This window comes from Homo sapiens, chromosome 17 (assembly GCF_000001405.40).
Source record: "Homo sapiens chromosome 17, GRCh38.p14 Primary Assembly".
NCBI classification, from domain to species: Eukaryota; Metazoa; Chordata; class Mammalia; order Primates; family Hominidae; genus Homo; species Homo sapiens.
Window position 1 is genome coordinate 8,051,772 of NC_000017.11, and position 20,814 is coordinate 8,072,585.

Below are 20,814 nucleotides of genomic sequence, written 5' to 3' on the forward strand. Positions count from 1 at the left end.
GTTAGATTGAGGCCATGTGACTAATTCTGGCCAGAACACTAATTCGCAGAGGAGTGATGTGTGTCCTTTCCAAGATGGGACAGTTACGAGCTGGTGTGCCTCCTTCATCCTTCTATTGCCCCATTGCCTATCCCTCGGAGGCATTTCCAGCTGACCTAGCCATCCTGACCTCTATTGCTGGACTTCCAGTTCAGGAGGACAAGGTTCACAACTGCCCATCACAGCGCCGGCACACTGCAGGTGCTTGGTAAGTACGTGCTGAATGAAGGAATTAATTCCTGCACAAATAATTCCTAAAACCCTGTGGTGCCCATCGCTTACCTGTGTCTCCCCAACCAGACTGTGAGCTTCTTGAATGCAGGAGCTGGGTCTCACTCAACTTGCCAGGCCTCATGCCCAGCGCTGCATTGACACAGAGTGATACCCAACAAATGTTTGTTTAATGTTGGATGAAGGGAAAGTGATTGGATGGTTGCATGCGTGGATGTACTGGTGAGTTGGAGGGCAGTTGCACCCCAGTCAATAAACTGGTGTTTGTTTCAGTATATATCTTTTGGGATCAACTATCATTTCCAGGAGAAACTGCAGCGTCCAAGGCAGCATAGCCGTGAAAATCCAAGCAGTCAGTCCCTAACCACTCTTGGAGAAGCCACCACCACCTCCTCTGCCCAGGGCCTGTGAGCTTGTGAGCCTGTGAGGTCCCCCCGCCACACACACCACACAACCCTAGCCCTAGAGCTCTCAGCTGGCCTCCCCGCCTTGAGAAGAGAAGGTTCTTCTCTTCTACAGAGAACTTCACCTCTACAGAGAACATTCTCTACAGAGAACATTCACCTCTAGGGATATCCAGTTAATGCTCCAGAATGGTGGCCTCCTTGGGCTATGATGGATGGTAAATAGATAGAAGATAGATAGTAGATAGATAGATGATGACAGATAGATAGATAGATAGATAGATAGATAGATAGATAGATAGTAGATAGATAGAAGATAGATAGTAGATAGTAGATAGAAGATAGATAGATGATAGATAGTAGATAGTAGACAGATAGTAGACAGATAGTAGATAGAAGATAGATAGTAGAAGATAGATAGATAGTAGATAGAAGATAGATGATAGATAGTAGATAGATAGTAGACAGATAGTAGACAGATAGTAGATAGAAGATAGATAGATAGTAGAAGATAGATAGATAGTAGATAGGAGATAGATGATAGTAGATAGATAGTAGACAGATAGTAGATAGAAGATAGATAGATGATAGTAGATAGATGGATAGATGACAGACAGTAGATAGAAGATAGATAGATAGAAGACAGTAGATAGTAGATAGACAGTAGATAATAGAAGATGGATAGATGATAGTAGATAGATCGATAGATAGATGATAGATAGAGAGTAGATAGAAGATCGATAGATAAATAGATAGAATATAGTAGATAGAAGATAGGTAGATAGATAGAAGACAGTAGATAGATAGTAGAAGATAGATAGATGATAGTAGATAGATGATAGATAGTAGAGAGAAGATAGATAAATAGATAGAAGATAGATAGATAGATAGAAGATAGATAGTAAATAGATAATAGACATATAGCCATGCATTACTTAACGATGGGGATATGTTCTGAGAAATGTGTTAGGTGATTTCATCATTGTGTGAACACCGCGGAGTCTGCTAACACAATTTTAAATGGTAGCGCGTACCACACACCTAGGCTATATGGTCTAGCCTGTCGCTCCCAGGCTGCAAACCTGTGCAACACGTTACCATGCCGAATACTATAAGCAGTTGTAACACAATGATAATATCTACACATTGAAAAGGTACAATTAAAATATATTGCTAAAGGCAAAAAGTGGTACACCTAAGTAAGGCATTTACTGAAGGCCTTGGAACCAGGGATGCCGATGGTGTAATGAATGGAGCTGCGGGACCGGAAGTCGCTGTGGGTGTGTCAGTGAGTGCATGGTGAGGGAATGTGAGGGCCTAGGCCGTCACTGTACACTTTTATGTGACTGGCAGCACAAAATTTTACTTAGACCAGCATCACCGCGAACATGTGAGTAATGCATTGTGCTATGACATCATGACAGCTATGATGTCACTAGGCATTAGGACTTTTTCAGCTTCATTATAATTTTATGGGACCACCATTGTACATGTGGTCCATCATTGATCAAAATGTCATTATGTGGTGCATGACTATAGACAGATATATAAGGAGAAATTAGGGGAATTGGCTCACGTGATTATGGAGGCGGAGAAGTCCCACTACAGGCCGTTCCCACTACAGGCTGTCTGCAAGCTGGAGACCCTGGGATGCCAGTAGCAGCATGGCTCAGTCCAAGTCTGAAGGCTTTGGAACCACGGATGCCAATGGTGTAATTCTCAGTCCAAGACCAAAGGCCTGAGAATACTTCCACTGGTCAGAGGACCACTGGTATGGGTCCTGGAGTCCCAAAGCCAGAGAGCCAGGGTTCTGATCACCAAGAGCAGGAGGAGGAGAGTGTCCCAGCTCCAGGACAGAGAGAAAGGGAGGAAATCCTTTTCTCCCTTTTTTCGTTCCACCAGGACCCACAATGATTGGATGATGCCTGCCACATTGAGGGTGGATGTTTCCCACTCAGCCCACTGACTCACAGCAATCTCCCCTGGAAACACCCTCACAGACACAACCAGAAATAATGCTTTACCAGTTCTCTCGGTATTCCTCAATGCAGTCAAGTTGGCACTTGAATGCATTAATGATGAAGTGTTATATAATATAGGTAGAAAACAAGTCACACCATGAGAAGCACATGATCCCTTTTGTTTTTTGTTTTTTGAGACGGAGTCTTGCTCTGTCACCCAGCGAGACATGCCACCATGTGGCATGATCTCAACTCACTGCAACCTCCGCCTCCCGGGTTCATGCCATTCTCCTGCCTCAGCCTCCCTAGTAGCTTGGACTACAGGCGCCCGCCACCATGCCTGGCTAATCTTTTTTATTTTGAGTAGAGACAGGGTTTCACCGTGTTAGCCAGGATGGTCTCGATCTCCTGACCTCATGATCCGCCCGCCTCGGCCTCCCAAAGTGCTGGGACTACAGGCGTGAGCCACCGCGCTGGGCCCCCTTGTGTGTTTTTTTTTTAAGTGAAGTATGTAAATCAATAGAAATGGCAAGGAAAGATCTGGAAAGAAGGATGCACACCTAGCTGTTGCTTGAGAAGGAGAGTGGGATTGTACAGCAGGGCCACATTGAGGAGTAAAGAAGTGGGAGCCTTAAACTAAGAGAGAGAGAGAGAGAGAAAGAGAGAGAGGTGAAACCCTGAAAAGGAGATCTATTTGATTGCTTGAGGTACTCACAGGGAACAGCCTTGTTAAGAAAAATTATCCAAAACTGATGAATAGAATCAAGAGGACAACTGCCTGTCCTTTTAAAGATGTTTTCTTTTCTTTAATTTTTGGTTTTCCTTCTTTCTTTTTTTTGGGGGGGTGGTTTCTGGTTTTTGAGACAGAGTCTCACTGTGTCACCCAGACTGGAGTGCAATGGTGCCATCTCAGCTCACTGCAACCTCCGCGTCCCGGGTTCAAGAGATTCTCCTGCCTCAGCCTTCCAAATAGCTGGGATTACAGGCACCCACCACCACACCCGGCTAATTTTTGTATTTTTAGTGGAGACGGGGTTTCGCCATATTGACCAGGCTGATCTCGAACTCCTGACCTCAAGTGATCCTCCCACCTCGGCCTCCCAAAGTGCTGGGAGGGATGCTTTATTTTCTAGCACGGCATACCACTGTTTGACTTTTCTGTGTGTTATTAATAAAGGCCTCGATTTATGTGAAGTTCATGTAAATGATTTGTTCCTTTTTTTAAAAGCAAATAAACTGGAGATTATAGTTCATTGCTCTGTAGAATGTTGACTAGTTTCATATCTAACCCAACAATCGTGTCCTAACATTCCTTTATTAAATTGCCTGTAAGTGCCCGGCTCCTCAATTGTTCTTGAAACCAGCATGACCATCTGGCTGAGTCGAATAAAATATTTGACTTGTGAACATTCTAATTTGTATGAACCATGTTTTTAATTTGTTTGAAATCCCTCCCAGGGTGGAGGGAGAGCTGCTTGTGCCACCCCAGAACAGTGCCTAGAACCCCAATCCCTTCTTCTCTCTGCCAGGTCCTCTTCCAGCCTCCTCTTTATCTTTGTGCCCGCCTTCCCCTCACCGCACCCCCATCCATGTTGGACATCCCAGGGGTGCCTTTGCTCACTACCCCAGGGAATGAGAAACAGACTCTTCTGTCCCCACCCGCATCCCCCACTGACCTAAGAAGGTGCTGAAGCCTGGGACAGAGACAAAAGTGGCAGAAATGGAGAGGGATGTGTGGGTTGAAATAGGGGGCTTGGATGTGGGCCCAGGTGGTTGAGGACCAGCCTACACTGTGCCCATTTAAAGATTAATAGTATATGCTTTAGAATAGTGCTTTACTAATATGATTATGAATCATAAGTATAATAGCTTGTGCTTAGTACAACAATAAGAGAATCAGGCGGTGAGCTTGCTTGACTGACCACAGAGTGGAACAAACAACCACAGGAAGTCTGCGGAGCCTCTGAGCAAGAAAGTTGGCTTATTGCTCAACCTTCCACTTGAGTGCCTGAACAAAGGTCTCATGGGAAGGGAAGCGACCCCTGCTCCATTACCCGGGAGGGTACTGCAGGAGGCTGCTGGTAAAAGAGGAGAAGTCCTCTGCAGTAGGGTTAAGGAGGAAGCCTCCTATCTCCCGCATGTTCCCAGAGGCAAAGCAGCTGCTCTGCTGACGGTGCTCAGGCGTTGACCACTCCTTTGATGTACAGGCCTGTGGGTTTGAAGGGCTGTTTGCTTTCACGTCCTGTTCTGTTCTATTAGCCGCTTAGTTGGACTCTGATGATTATCTGTAAGTTAAACATAGAGTATTAGCTTACGTAGTGGAACAGTAAATAGTATTAACTGGCTAATGACCGACACAGCAGGCTCCGCCACCTCTCCCTATGCTCACCCAATGATCACCTCACCATCAGCCCACCCTCAGCCTATAGGATCAAAGGAACTGTACTCAATAAATATCAGTGGAACCCAGAGCTCCTGGCCTTTGCAATCTCCACGTTGCGATGGATCCTTGGACCCACTTTTGTTAACTCTTAAACTTTGTGTCTTTGTCTTTATTTCTTTTCTCATTCCCTCGTCTCCACCGGGAAGGGGAGAGCCTGCGGGTGGTGTATCAGGCAGGTTCCCCTACATCTTTGGCACCCAACACGGTCTCCTTGAACCCAGGTGAAGTTACACCTGAGCGTGGTCGTTGTGAAGAACGGTCTGTCCAGGAACTCCCGAGAACGTGTGGTCGGCCTTGCGGTAAGCTTGTGCACTCGGAGCATTCCAGGGACACCATGGGACAATCCAAAAGTAAACATTCTGCATATTTACATTTTATTAAGCTCCTCTTAAAGAGGGCAGGAATTAAGGCTAGCACAGAAAATTTGATTACTCTGTTTCCAACAGTAGAGCAATATCGTCCTTGGTTTCCTGAACATGGTACCATGGACTTCAAAGATTGGGAACAGGTGGGAATTGCCTTAAAACAAGTTTGTAAGGAAGGAAAATTTATCCCCCTAACAGCCTGGTCAAACTGGGCTATAGTTAAAGCAGCCTCGGAACCGTTTCAATCGGAAAATGAGGCTTATCCTCCAGCAGAAAGAATTTCTGCAGAGGAAGGTGGTGATGCTGCTGAAGGAGGAGAGGATAGTGAAGAAGATTTTGAGGAAAATACAGACAAACCTGGAGATGAGTTAATTTCTTTTGAGGAGCACGTGGGACCTTCAGCTGCTCCTAAAATAGAGAAGCCATATATGCCAAGATGTTTAAAACAAAGAAGGGCCTTGAGGAGCAGTCGGCTCCTCATTGGGATCATCCGGAGTGGCCGCCTCCAATAAAGCAATGTAGCTTGGAGCCTTGGAGGTCTGAATCTCAAATTTGCCCTGTTTCACGAATGAATGAATTGTGGCCTCAGGAACCACGAGCGCATGGTGTAGCACCAGTACAACATAAGGCTGCACTGCCATCTAATGTTAATGAATCGCCATTACAGTTTACTATTCGGCAGGCTAGATTAGCCGGAGATCTTGATGCCTGGCAGTTTGCAGTAGTTTTGCAACCCCCACGACAGCAAGGTGGAGCCCATCAAGCGGTATGGGAACCATTTTCTTTTAAGCTGCTCAAAGATCTTAAAGCAGCTGTTGGTCAGTATGGTCCCAATTCGCCTTTCATCCGATCGCTATTGCAATCTGTGGCTCAGAATAAGCTATTGACTCCGTGTGATTGGGAGATTTTAACGAAAGTTACACTTTCGCCCTCCCAATTTCTTCAGTTTAAGACTTGGTGGACCGACGAGGCTCAAAATCAAGATCGAAAAAACCGTGCTGCTAATCCTGCTATTGCCATTACATTTGAACAACTTCTAGGAATAGGGGGTCAATGGGGAACTGTAAACAACCATCAGGACTTCGAGATGATGCCATTGAACAAATTCGCAATTGCTGTTTGAGGGCATGGGAGAAAATTCAGGATCTGGGAACTACTTATCAGTCTTTTAATTCTATTAGACAAGGCTCAAAGGAACCATATCCTGATTTCATTGCTCGCCTTCAAGACGCAGCACAGAAGGCTCTCACTGATGAAAGTGCCAGGAAGGCCGGGTGCGGTGGCTCATGCCTGTAATCCCAGCACTTTGGGAGGCCGAGGTGGGCGGATCACCTGAGGTCGGGAGTTGGAGACCAGCCTGACCAACATGGAGAAACCCCGTCTCTACTAAAAATATAAAAATTAGCCGGGCGTGATGGCACATGTCTGTAATCCCAGCTACTCAGGAGGCTGAGGCAGGAGAATTGCTTGAACCCAGGAGGCGGAGGTTGCGGTGAGCCGAGATCACGCCACTGCACTCCAGCCTGGGTAACAAGAGCGAAACTCCGCCTCAAAAAAAAAAAAAAAAAAAGAAAGAAAGAAAGAAAGTGCCAGGAAGGTGATTGTAGAATTATTGGCTTGTGAGAATACTAACCCTGAATGCCAGTCAGCTATTCACCCAGTGAAAGGAAAGGTTCCGGTGGGAGTTGATGTGATTAATGAATATATCAGGGCATGTAATGGAGTTGGTGGAATCATGCATAAGGCTATGATAATGGTTCAAGCCACGACAGAGTTAAAAGTGGGAGGTCCAATTAAAAACTTTTCAGGCAATTGTTACAATTGTGGGCAATTTGGACACACAAAAAAGGAACGTAAGAACAAATCGAACAAACAGGCAAGATATAATCAAATAAAAGAACCACCTGGCTTATGTCCCAGGTGCCAGAAGGGTAAACATTGGGCTAATCAGTGTCACTTCAAATTTGACAAAAATGGCCAACCGTTACAACCGCAGTCGGGAAACAGGAAGAGGGGCCAGCCTCAGGCCCCGCTCCAAACGGGGGCATTCTCACTCCAGCAGTTGGTCCCTCAGTCGGTCATTGCCTCTAGTCCAACCACCATCATTGTCTCTTGCCCAACCACCACAGTAACACAATTGGCGCCAGCTACAGCAGGGAGTACAGGCTTAGATTTATGTTTCCCAAAAGCTATCTCTCTGCTTCCAGGGAAATCCCCTCAAAAAGTCCCCACTGGAGTATTTGGCCCTTTACCTGATGGACAGTTGGACTTGTTTTAGGAACATCTAGTCTAAACTTAAAAGGAGTTCAGATTCATACTGGGCTGATTGATTCAGATTTTGTGGGAGAAATTCAATTGGTTATTAGTTCCAGTATTCCTTGGAGTGCAAACCCAGGAGATAGAATTGCTCAGCTGTTGTTATTACCTTATGTAATAGTAGAAAAAAGTACAGTAAAAAGAGAAAGTGGTTTTGGCAGTACTGACAGTGAAGGAAAAGCAGCCTATTGAGTAAATCAAGCTTCTAAAAACAGACCTGTGTGCACAATGATTCAGGGAAAACAGTTTGAAGGACTGGTAGACACAGGTGCTAATATTTCAATTATAGCTCTAAATCAGTGGCCAAAAGCGTGGCCCCGACAAAAGGCTTCTATGGGCTTGATTGGAGTAGGCACAGCATCTGAAGTCTATCAAAGTGCTACAATTTTACATCGTTTAAGACCAGATGGGCAGGAAGTCACCATCCAACCTATGATTACTTTCATTCCCATTAATTTGTAGGGGAGAGATTTGTTACAGCAATGGGGTACAGAAATCACCATTCCCCCTGCAATTTACAGTCCTGAGAGCCAAAGAATGATGACCAAAATGGGATATATTCCTGGGAAAGGATTAGGAAAAAAATGAGGACGGAATAACCCAGCCGATTGAGGTCTCAGTTAAATTTGACCGAAGAGGAATTGGATATCCTTCTTAGGTGCGGCCACTGTTGAGCCTCCAAAGCCCATTGCATTAAAACGGAAAACTCCAAAACCTGTTTGGGTTGATCAGTGGCCGCTTCCTCAACAAAAACTGGAGGCATTACATTCATTGGCAAAAGAACAATTAGACAAAGGACATATTGAACCATCTTTTTCACCATGGAACGCCCCAGTTTTTGTAATTCAGAAAAAATTCGCTAGATGGCGCATATTGACCGACTTATGAGCGGTTAACGCAGCCATTCAACCGATGGGAGCTCTCCAACCAGGGTTGCCATCTCCGGCCATGATCCCAAAAGAATGGCCGATGGTAATAATTGATCTAAAAGATTGTGTTTTTTACTATTCCTTTGGCTCCTCAGGATTTTGAGAAATTTGCATTTACAATACCTGCCATGAATAACAAGGAACCAGCTACTATATATCGATGGAAAGTTGTACCCCAAGGAATGTTAAATAGTCAAACTTTTGTTGGAAAGGTTATTCAGCTTGTCAGGGATCAGTTTCCTGATTGCTATATTATTCATTATGTTGATGACATTTTATGTGCTGCTGCAAGCAGGGACAGACGGATTGAGTGTTTTGCTAGGCTACAAGAAGTGGTGGGACTTACAGGTCTCGCTATAGCACCAGATAAAATCCATACTACACCCTATCATTACCTGGGAATGAGGGTACAGGAGAAAACAGTAAAGCCTCAAAAGGAGGAAATTCGTAAAGAGTCCTTAAAAACCTTAAATGATTTCCAAAAATTATTAGGGGACGTTAATTGGATAAGACCTACTTTAGGAATTCCCACCTAAGCAATGTCTAAACTGTTTGCTTTGCTGAGATGGGATCCAAATTCATGTAGCAAAAGAACTCTGATGCCTGCTGCAGCTGAAGAGTTACAAATGATTGAGGAAAAAATTCAAAGTGCTCAAGTCCGTAGAAGAGATCCTAGTGTTCCATTACAGCTCTTAGTGTTCCCTACTCTCCATTCTCCTATAGGAGTGATTGTTCAAAATGTTGACTTAGTTAAATTGTCCTTTTTAACGCACAGTACGACTAGAACTTTCTCAATTTATTTAGATCAAATAGCTATTCTTATAGGCCAAATACAACTGAGAATAGTCAGACTCATTGGCACCGATCGAGATAAAAATGTAGTTCCTTTAAACAAAGCACAGGTTCGACAAGCCTTTATTAATTCGTCAGAATGGCAGTCAAATCTGGCTGATTTTGTTGGCAGTATAGATATTCATTACCCTAAAACTAAAATGTTTCAGTTCCTAAAAATTGACTACCTAAATTTTACCCAAAATAACTAGTTCCATTCCTTTGGAGGGAGCCGTAACTATCTTTACTGATGGCTCTCAGAATGGAAAAGCAGCTTATACAGGACCGGAAGAAAAGATTATTCAAACTCAGTTTCATTCTGCACAAAGAGCTGAGCTACAAGCAGTTATATCTGTATTGGAAGATTGTAATCAACCTGTTAATATAATCTCTGACTCTGCTTACGTATTCCAAGCTGCCAAAATGGTAAAAACAGCTTTAGTAAAACATATTTCTGATGATCAGTTAAATTTCTTGTTTAGTTCACTTCAACAAGCAGTTAGGACTCAAAATTTTCCCTTTTATATTACACATATTTAGGCTCACACAAACTTACCAGGACCTTTAACCCTATTAAATAATCAAGCAAATTTATTAGTGACGCCTGTTCTAACAGTGTCCGGCCTCTGAGCCCAAGCTAAGCCATCATATCCCCTATGACCTGCACGTATACATCCAGATGCCCTGAAGCAACTGAAGAATCACAAAAGACGTGAAAATGGCTGGTTTCTGCCTTAACTGATGACATTACCTTGTGAAATTCCTTCTCCTGGCTCAGAAGCTCCCCTACTGAGCACCTTGCAACCCCCGCCCCTGCCCGCCAGAGAACAACCCCCTTTGACTGTAATTTTCCACTACCTACCCAAATCCTATAAAAGGGCCCCACCCCTATCTCCCTTCGCTGACTCTCTTTTCGGACTCAGCCCACCTGCACCCAGGTGAAATAAACAGCCTTGTTGCTCACACAAAGCCTGTTTGGTGGTCTCTTCACACAGACGCGAACAAAAGCTCAAAACTTCCATTCCCTAATTCATGTAAATGCTGCTGGATTAAAAAATAAATATTCATTTACCTGGAAACAAGCTAAAAATATAGTACAACATCCTCAGTGCCAAGTGCTACAGCTACCCACCCAAAAACCTGAAGGTAACCCTAGGGGGCTTCAACCAAATGCAGTGTGGCAAATGGACATGACTCATGTCCCATCATTCGGAAAACTTTCTTTCGTACATGTTACTGTTAATACTTTTTCTCGGTTTATCTGGGCTACACGCCAAACTGGAGAAAGCACAGCTCACGTAAAACGACATTTATTATCTTGTTTTGCAGTCATGGGTGTGCCACAGAAAGGAAAAATGGTCTGGTGGAAGGATACCAGAACCAAAACTTGGAAATTAAGAAAAAGTATTACTTGGGGGAGGGGTTTTCCTTGTGTTTCACCAAGAGACAATCAAACACTCATTTGGATACCCAATAGACATTTAAAATTCTACAATGAACCCTACACCGACCGGTCAGAAAAAAGGAAAGAATCAAAAGAGAAAGAAGACCGGTCCCTTCGACCTGTCTTTTCGGGAGCTGAGGAAAATGGTGAAGCTGAGCGTCTCGGAGAAAAAACAGAAGACGGAGAAGACTCGCTAGGCTACACCACTGACATGGGGACAGATAAAGAAGCTGACTCAATTGGCAGAGGACACCCTAAAGGAGAAACAACTAGCGATTACACCGGGTAATATGATCTTGGCTGCCTTGATGGTAATCACCACGGCGGTAAGTCTCTCTGCTGTTTCAGCTAAGCAAAATTTTACTACTGGGCTTATGTTCCATTTCCTCCTTTGATTAGACCTGTCACTTGGATGGACTCCCCTACTGAAGTTTATACAAATGGTAGTATCTGGATGCCTGGGCCGACTTATGATAGCTGTCCTGCATAGCCTGAGGAGGAGGGCATGTTAATGAATGGGATAATTGGGTATAAATACCCTCCAGTTTGTTTAGGAATTGCTCCTGGATGTTTGCCATTACAAATACAAAGTTGGATGGTCTACGTACCTCCTCATAATCGTTCTCAACCTAGTTATCACGTAGTGAGTGGAATGTCTTTTCAACCCATCAGGACTGTAAAAACTTAAGGGGATAGTTATTATCAGTCAAATATAAAAGTCCAAAATTGCAAGCCTAAGGGATTGGCTTGCCCTAAAAGGAATCCAGAATGGTCAGAAAAATGAGAAATTCTTACTTGGGAGGTTTGTGTGGCAGATAATGCGGTAGTTTTGCGAAATGGTTCTCATGGGGTCATTATAGACTGGGCTCCTAAGGAATCTTTTGCTAGAAATTGCACCGGACAAAACGCTGGGTGCGCTGGGGACTCCTTTATGATCGAATATAGAAATGATCCATATAATCCCCCCACTTTAGTTAGAAGATTTGAATCAACATACCCATTAAAGTGGGAAGATAAAGATACTGCTCCCCCTCCACCAAAAATTAGTCCGGTCGTGGGTCTGGAACATCCAGAATTGTGGAAGTTGCTTATGGCGACCTCCGGAATGAGAGTGTGGAAAGGGGAAGCGTCCTGGGGAACAAAAGGTAATAAGCCACTCTTTACTATGCCTTCTCCCTCTGCCCACTCCCCCGCCCCCCGAAAGGAAGACCTCCAGGTGACGCTCCCTGAGGACTCGGGCCAGGTGCTGCTGCTGCGTTTGCACAAGGCGTCCCCCGCCTCCCCTCCCCTCTGCCACCCCTCCCCCCGCCGGCCTCCCCGCCTCCCCCACCTCACCCCTACCCCCTCCGCCCCCCGCCCCCCGCCACGCTGCCTCGCCCCCTCTAGGTCCGGCCCAGACTCCGGGGTCTGCCGCTGGGTCCAGCTGAGGCTGCTGGGGACCCCCTCCGCTCCCCCTTACCAGTGGCTGGAGGGGGCAGGCAAAGGGCAGGGCCGGGGCTGCAGGAGGGGCATGGAGGGAGCGAGGGGGACCAGGGTGGTCATGGGTCAGGGGAGGGGGGCTGGTGTGGACACAGTGGGGAGGGGGGAGGCAGAAAGGTGACATGAGGGGCACGGGAAGGAGGAGGTGGGATGGTTGGGAGGAACCATACTCAGGGAGGGGAGGATGGAAGATAAGTGGGGGAGGGGAGCACCGGCTCTGACAAGAGGATTAGGTGGGGAAGTTGAGTGGTGGATCAGTGAGTGGAAGAGGGAGAAGCTGGTGGAAAGAGAACAGGCCTGTGAAGCAGAGGGGTTGGGGGCAGAACATCGTGGCCCAGTATTGGGGGTGGTGGGTGTAGCTATGTCTTCTCTTTCCTCTTCCCACCGACTTTACTCTTTGGTCCCCTCTGGCCTGGGCTGTTGAGTTGGGGCTCAGTGAACGGATGGGGACGACCTCAGGTGCTGAAGCAGGTGCTGAAGCAGGGTCTGCCGTGGGGGGAAGGTGGAGTGGGCAGGGCTTCTCCATCCCTGGGGGAAGAGGCAAAGCAGACGCAGAGGCCAGGGGCTGGCCAACACCCTGGTTCAAAGATGCTCCCACCCCAGGTCTGGGGAGAGGAGGGGAGAGGCTGGGGGCTAAGATCTCCCTTTCTGCACCTGGATCCCCTCCACAGCCTGGGCCATTCTGTCTTTGTTTCTGCAGGAACACTGCCCTGAAACTGCAGGACTGCTGGGCAGCCAGGGGTCTGGAAAAGGGATCAGTGTACCTTCATCTTCCCCACACCAAGGTGTCAGGTCCGCAGGGTGAGGGAGGAAGGGCGAGGTGGCTGCAGCAGGGCAAGAGGGTCCTTGGTGGCAACCTTGTGGGACTGAGAACCAGAAAGCCAAAATTAGAACATTCTGGAAATCACAGGACTTGTTCTGTGCTGCCACCAGTTCCTACCTGTCCTTTGAAGAAGCTCACTTCTGCCCTGAGAATGTGCACGTCCTGCCATTGTGCTCGGCTCACTGCAACCTCTGCCTCCTGGGTTCAAGCGATTCTCCTGCCTCAGCCTCCTGAGTAGCTGGGACTACAGGCACCCACTACCACACCTGGCTAATTTTTGTATTTTTAGGAGAGACGGGGTTTCACCATGTTGGTCAGGCTGGTCTCGAACTCCTGACCTCCTGATCTGCCCACCTCAGCCTCCCAAAGTGTTGGGATTACAGGGGTGAGCCACCACGCCCAGCCCAGCAGTGGCTTCTGTGTGGGAAGAAGGTCAGGGCTGAAGGACCCTGGGAGGATGCCCCACCCAACATGTCCTCTCTCATCGTGGGGTAATTGCCCATGTTTGCCCAGCCATTCTCACCTATCAGGGCTTCCAAAAGAATGGCCAAAGTAAGTTCTAACAACTTTGCTTCTTTGCCAAGGCAAGCACCAATGCTACTTTTCTGCCCTCTCTGGATGCCCGTGACTTCGGTCCCACAGGAAGCCAAGCTCCTGAGGCAGCTGAAATTCAGTCAGGGGACTGGGGTCTGTGTACTGATCTACACCCCACTTCATACCTACTTCTTCAAACTGTCCCCAACACTGGGAACACCTGTCCTTGAATATCCTCAGCAATTTAAGGGGAAAAAAAGGCTGAAGCAGAAAGACTTTTTCCTTCCAAAATTGTGCCTGCTTGCTTGGGGGCCTAGGCATGCAGACTTGAAAATAAATCAAGCTTGGGTGGGGCATGGTGGCTCCCGCCTGTAATCCCAGCACTTTGGAAGGCCGAGGCAGGCCAGGCAGGGTGAGGAGGATCACAAGGTCAGGAGATCGAGACCATCCTGGCTAACATGGTGAAACCCTGTCTCTACTAAAAATACAAAAACAAAATTAGCCAGGGTGGTGGCGGGTGCCTGTAGTCCCAGCTACTCTGGAGGCTGAGGCAGGAGAATGGCATGAACCCAGGAGGCAAAGCTAGCAGTGAGCGGAGATCGCACCACTGCACTCCAGCCTGGGCGACAGAGAGAGACTATAGAAAGAAAGGAAGAAAGAAAGGAAGGAAGGAAGGAAACTAAGCTTAGGAGGCCGAGGCAGGTGGATCACCTGAGGTCAGGAGTTTGAGACCAGCCTGACCAACACAGCAAAACCCCGTCTCTACTAAAAATACAAAAATTAGCCACGCATGGTGGCAGGCACCTGTAATCTCAGCTACTCAGGAGTCTGACGCAGGAGAGTTGCTTGAACCTGGGAGGCAGAGGTTGTAGTGAGCCGAGATTGCGCCACTTCACTCCAGCCTGGGCGAAAGAGCGAAACTCCGAATAAATAAATAAATAAATAAACAAACAAGCAAACCAAGCTGGAAGATTCAGTAGTGCTCACTCTCCAATATCCTTGTTGCCGCTGGGTGCACGATGCATTTAAACTATACAGGTCAAACTCTTGGTTCAGAAACCCTAGCACCAGTGCCACGCCCCAAAGCAATGCAACCTCTTATTAAATGATCACTCTGGTTTAACAAATCATCTACACTGCCTTGTGACAAAGTAGCAGGAGAATGGGACCCGGGACTGGTGAGTTTTGGCAGGGAATCAAAAGGGCCTCTCTGAGCGGAAGCCCGGAAGGACGGGCCGTTCTGGTATCCAGCATTCTTTAGTATTCCAGTTTTCTCAAATTCAACTTATCCTAGGTGAGGTCTTAGTGCACATCACAGAGCATGTTAGGCTTCCCTCAAAACGGGTGGGGCCAAGGGAGTTCAGATGACTCCTCAGGCAGAAACCAAACCTGCGATCCTTTGTTGTCTAAGAAAACCACTTGGAAAAGTAAAGTCATCCAACCCGTTGTGCTAGAGAGGAGGGAAGCCCAGCCCAGCCATCAGCATCAGGAAGTGGCTATGCTGGGAAGTTGGAGATGGGTCTGACAGTGGTGGCCATGCTGCAGGCAGAGGACCAGGGTGACTCTCCCCACGCCTACCCTCTGCAGAGTATGCATTTCAGACTAGAAGGAGGATGAGGACACCTTTTTCGCCTCCTTCACCTCCTAGTTTCTGAATGACCTCAACTCCATCCTGATCCACTGCTGTCACTGACTCCCAAAGAATTTTCTGGTCACTGATGCCATGATGGTCCCTGCGCTGGACCCTGGGACCAGTCTGCAGGCTGAGCGGGCGCCAGTGGAGGGAGGGGCATTGTTCTGAGATGGTGAGGGCTGAGGGGCAGGGCTGAGTGAGGAATGTGCTCTCTCCTGCTACTTTGCCAGGAGCCATGCATTGACAGGCCCTCCCAGCACAGAAACTATAGTGATGCGTTGGTTGCCATGGTTTCCGAGGATGCTCTGCAGCTAATCTGAGTGCCCCCCAGAGCTGCTGCTCTCCCCTCCCTGGGCTACTGGGATGGGGTGTGCTGCGACCCCAGGAGGGTGCATTTCGTGCTGACCTCCAGCGGGGCGCGCTTCTCTCACTGTCTCTCACTGATGCTTGGGCCTGGCCACAGTAGAGTCACCTTCAATACTTGGGTGGGGGAAGAGGGGAGGGGCTTCTTTCTCTGGAACCACAAAGTGGCTCTGAGTTGGAACACCCCACTGGCTCCAGAGAATGAAGTTCCTTTAAGTGAAATACTCCCAGGTTCATAATAACTCCCCCTTCCTCACCCAAGCCTGCTCAGCCCTCCTCCTCCTCCACTCCTCCTCTAAAGGGGCTCTCTGTACCTGGTGGACCATGCCATCCTCTCAGGCCTCTACCCCAGCATCATTCATGGGAGGCCCTAGTTCATGACTGCACCCCTGATCCTGCTGCACCAGCGTCCCAACGGCAACAGGCCCTTGCTATCCCTTGTCATTCTGGTCAGCCAGGCAGGGCCTCGGTGGGCTGGTGGGTGGGGTAGGGGAAGTCTATTACATCCTCGGGATGACTGAAAGGTTGCCTCCTCCCAATGCCACTGTGCCTGGTGACATCACCTCTCCAATCCTACTCAGCCCCTCTCAAGTTTGTCTTTCTGTTTTGTCCTCTTTGATTTCCATCTTGATAGAAAGTTTATGATACTCAAGAGAACAAATTGCCCCTTGACAGGGTGTCAGAATCGATTGTACTAAGTCACGCACCTTTGGCAGTTCAACCGTGTTCCTAATAGTTAAAACCATAACCCATTCGGGAGGTGTCCACACCGTCCCTTCCCATCCTTCCAGTCTGCCCCACACAACTGGGGCTCTGGATGACTGGACTGGTACAGGGAAGTCAGCCAACACGATGCCTTGGGTCACTTCACCTCTCAAGGAGATTATTCTCATCAACCTTGTCTTACTAATGAGGAAACTGAATCACAGAGAGGTTAATAAACTTTCCCAAGTTCACACAGCTGGTCAAAAGTCGTGTGATTTTGTAGCAGGACGAGCCGCAGACAAAACCCCTCAGACATCAAGTTAAAGAAGGAAGGGCTTTATTCAGCCAGGACCATCGGCAAGACTCGCGTCTCAAAAACCGAGCTCCCAGAGTGAGCAATTCCTGTCCCTCTTAAGGGCTTACAACTCTAAGGGGGTCTGCTTGAGAGGGTCGTGATCAATTGAGCAAGCAGGGGGTATGTGACTGGGGGCTGCATGCACTGGCAATTAGAACGGAACAGAACAGGACAGGGATTTTCACAGTGCTTTTCTATACAATGTCTGTAATCTACAGATAACATAACCGATTAGATTAGGGGTTGATCTTTAACTACCAGGCCCGGGGTGTGGCGCAGGGCTGCCTGCCTGTGGATTTCATTTCTGCCTTAGTTTTTACTTCTTCTTTCTTTGGAGGCAGAAATTGGGCATAAGACAATATGAGGGGTGGTCTCCTCCCTTATTCTGGCCCCATGGACGTGGTGATGGGCTGCCCTTCCCCAGTTTCTGCCCAATGCCTGCCCTCTCCTGTGCCCCCACTCCAGCTCACTCAGACACCCAGCCTAGACAGCCCCATCTTCCTGCCCAGTGACCCCAGCTGAAGACTGGTTCCTGGCCAAGACCTGGGTGTGACCCTGAAAGTTCCTGTTGCACAAGACGGTCACTCATCTACTTCAAACCCACTTTGTGGTGGAGCTTTTGCTTTGTCCATGCTGTGGCAGCTGCCCATGAGCCACCCATTTTCAAGGCAGGGAGGAGCCCTCCTCTCAGTGCCCACAGCTGTGGGAGACCCGGGGCTGCCTGATCTGACCTCTGACTCCGGCTTCCCCTTTCTTCTGCACCTTCCACATCAACATCCAGCCCGCACTGGGCTCTTTGTACCAGGAAAGCTCATCCACCAGGTCAAGGCCCTGGAGGCCTGGGATCTTGGGGTGAGCACAGAGGGCCTGGGGAGGCCTGAGATTTGGTCCAGAGCCCCTCCTAGCAGCAGGAGTGGGCTCTCTGCTCATTACAGTCAACATTGTTGGGACAGATGGGCTGCCTGGAGCTGATCACCAAAGGGCTGGCAGCTGCCAGCTACCACTCCCTCTACCTGTCCCACCAGCTGGCTGACTTCAAGGTCCAGGACCTCGCCCGCTACTACACTCCAGATCTGGGCAGCCATAGAGAGGTGACACTCCCCTGGGGCCTGAGGGCTCCAACCCTCTCACCCTCGGCTAGACCCCTGTTGGTTTATTCAACCTTCCCCCAGCCTCCTTCCCAAACACACTGCTGTCTCCAAGCCCTTCCTGTTTACTCTTGATCCTTCCCAGCTGTGTTGGGAAGTTATTTAACCTCTCTGTGCCTGTTTCCTCATCTGACAATGGGGTAATAAGAGCACCTATGGTATAGCTTATTATTCTTATTCAATCCAAAACCCTAAGAACAAACCCCAGTGCACAGAAAGTGCTCTCGGAGATTAGCTATTAAGATTATTATGCCGGGCGCGGCGGCTCACACCTGTAATCCCAGCACTTTGGGAGGCTGAGGTGGGCGGATCACTTGAAGTCAGGAGTTCGAGACCAGCCTGGCCTACATGGCAAAACCCCATCTCTACTAAAAATACGAAAGTTAGCTGGGTGTAGTGGTGGGCGCCTGTAATCCCAGCTGCTGGGGAGGCTGAAGCAGGAGAATCACTTGAACCCAGGAGGCGGAGGTTGCAGTGAGCAAGATCGTGCCATTGCACTCCAGCCTGGGCAACAAGAGCAAAACTCGGTCTCAAAAAAAAAAAAAAAAGATTATTTTTCACCCCATAGATAAAGTCACTGTGTCTCCAGGTTTTTCCGTTGAAATCTTCCTCATAGGAGACTGCCTTGGGGTATAGCTGTGGCCTCCACCCCAATGGCCAGATCCTCTTAATATCTGGCCTCCCACGGGTTCCCAGCTCCTGCCACCAGCCTGCATAATGGCCTCCCTCCAGCACCGAGATTGATGGCGGTGCCGCTGCCCATTAGCCTCCAGTGGTGCCCAGTGGCTCGCCACATGCAATGCTGCATTCCCTGCCAGCTCAGCCCCTCTGAAATCTGCCCCTACTTCCATTCTTCCACCTCAGCACACACTGGGCCTAGGGAGACGAGGCACCCTAATTTCTCCCTTTCTCCCAATTCAAATTCTGCCCCTGCTTCAAGCCCAACTCATGTCCCACCTCCCCCTTGAAGACCTCAGGGACTCCCCCTATATGAACATCCACAGCAGGAGCTCCTTCCTCAGCAGGGGTCTGCACATCCTACTATGGCTGGGGATGGAGGGCCCTTTGGGAACCAGTGGATGAGATGAACCCAATCAGCCGGTCCTGAGGCAGATGGACCTGGTGTCTCATCCTTCCCTGTGGGTTGGAATCCAAATGCCTGCAGGACCAGTGAGCAGAGAAAAGCTAAGGAAGAAGAGTGGGCAGGGACCGTGGCCAGTGGGAAACTCATGTTTGTCTGATGGGGACAGTGGTGACCCAGCTATCACTGTGACCAGATCTTCTGATTTTTCAGCAGAAACCAGACATCTTCTAATATTTAAACGTTGGCAAGTGATTCAACTTGAAAAACAAACAGAAAAACCTTGCCAGCTGATCAAAACACATCTGCAGATCAATCATGGCCTTCGGGCCTCTGTTTGCATGGCATGGTGAAGAGCACAGCCTCCCGGTTTGATCTCGGCTCTGCAGTTCACTCTGTGGTTGGCCGTTTTCCTTCCTTGGCCTCAGTTTCCCCCTTTGTGGGCAGCAGGTCTCAGTGGCCCCTTCCAACCCATACCCCTGTGCAGTGTTGGCTCCCGGCTGTTAGTCACCGTGTATTCCCGACCCCCCAGCTTTGGGACCAATATTGTTAACATCTACTACCCGGACGATACGGCAGTGAGCAGGGACTCAGAGCTCCAGGCCTGGGTCAGGGAGATCTTCCAGGAGGGTTTTCCAAGCCAAATGCTCTCAGAGGTGGCGTCCACTGCCCCAGGGCAGCAGCCTCTTGGGTCTCAGCTCTGTTCTCTCTACCCTACTCCCATCTAGGGGGTCCCCTCCACCCTGGGCCACTGTGCTGGGCTCATCCGGTGTTTCACGACGATCATCGTCACCTGCTCAGCCCAACATGCTGCCATCAACAGCGGCCAGGTGAGCCACTGCCAGACCAGGGGGACAAGCAGGGTCACGGGAGGAGCAGCCCTAGCAGCACTGGAAGCTCTGTACTGAGTTTGCGGGGGTCGGTCTGAATTCAGTGACTGGATCCCCAATATTCCTATCATCCTGTGGCTTGCCCTGCCCACCGCCAAGGGCCAGACAGAACAAGCAGCCTCACTCCCTGCGGTCGATGCCACACACCACCCCCTGCTGCTCCTGTGGGGGGTCAGCAATGGAACCAAGGCCACCATAAGCAAGGCCCAGGTGGGGATGGCTGGGGTCTCAGCTTCTAGAGAGTGGGAACATTGAGGAAGGGATCCTGGGGACAATGGCTACTAGGAGGATGCACTTAGCTTAGCAGGCTGGGCTCCTAGGTGGCAGGGCTTGTGGCCACTAGGTTGCTGGTGGGTGTGGTTTAGGGTGCTGTGGATTCCTAGTAGGGGGAGTTTAGAGTGGTCTGGGCTTCAGAGTGAGCCGGGCTTGGGGTGGTCTGGGTTTCTTGTGGCCCGCAGTCTTTTGTCTAGGTGGGCGGGTGTTTTATGTTTCAAGTTGGATGGGTCTGGAGTGCTCCAGGACCCCTACGTGGGCTGGGCTTGGGTGGACTAAGTCCCCTGGGAGGGAGACTTAAGCTGGAACAGAATCGTTGTGGGCTGAAAATGCAGCCGGCCAAGGTCCCAGCCTTTCGGTCTCCCCTCCTGGACACCTACCCAGAGGAGCACTTCACCGAGAAGGCCCCGCGGCAGAGCCGCCTGGCCCAGATCTCGGCGGACGTCCTGGAGTGGAGCCGGGGCCTGGCGCTGCCCTACTCCTACCTGAACCCCGCGGCCGCAGAGAACGGAATCGCGGTGAGAGCGCGCGGCACAGCCTGCACCTGCACCCCGCGGCGCCAGCCCT

The 20,814-nt window shown here is 49.0% G+C and overlaps 1 pseudogene, besides 4 other annotated features; it reads left to right on the top strand.

The window, feature by feature from the left end:
- Positions 5,906-6,423: an enhancer, noted in NCBI's record as "OCT4-NANOG hESC enhancer chr17:7960995-7961512 (GRCh37/hg19 assembly coordinates)". NCBI's record gives its function as "activates a minimal SCP1, AML or CMV promoter by ChIP-STARR-seq in primed H9 embryonic stem cells {active_cell/tissue: H9 hESC(primed)}" and the evidence as "EXISTENCE:reporter gene assay evidence [ECO:0000049][PMID:30033119]".
- Positions 5,907-5,976: an enhancer, noted in NCBI's record as "active region_11659". NCBI's record gives its function as "activates an Ori minimal core promoter by ATAC-STARR-seq in GM12878 lymphoblastoid cells {active_cell/tissue: GM12878}" and the evidence as "EXISTENCE:reporter gene assay evidence [ECO:0000049][PMID:35858748]".
- Positions 12,576-13,077: an enhancer, noted in NCBI's record as "H3K4me1 hESC enhancer chr17:7967665-7968166 (GRCh37/hg19 assembly coordinates)". NCBI's record gives its function as "activates a minimal SCP1, AML or CMV promoter by ChIP-STARR-seq in naive H9 embryonic stem cells {active_cell/tissue: H9 hESC(naive)}" and the evidence as "EXISTENCE:reporter gene assay evidence [ECO:0000049][PMID:30033119]".
- Positions 17,206-17,707: an enhancer, noted in NCBI's record as "H3K4me1 hESC enhancer chr17:7972295-7972796 (GRCh37/hg19 assembly coordinates)". NCBI's record gives its function as "activates a minimal SCP1, AML or CMV promoter by ChIP-STARR-seq in primed H9 embryonic stem cells {active_cell/tissue: H9 hESC(primed)}" and the evidence as "EXISTENCE:reporter gene assay evidence [ECO:0000049][PMID:30033119]".
- ALOXE3P1 (arachidonate lipoxygenase 3 pseudogene 1) lies at positions 19,615-20,759 on the top strand (annotated as a pseudogene).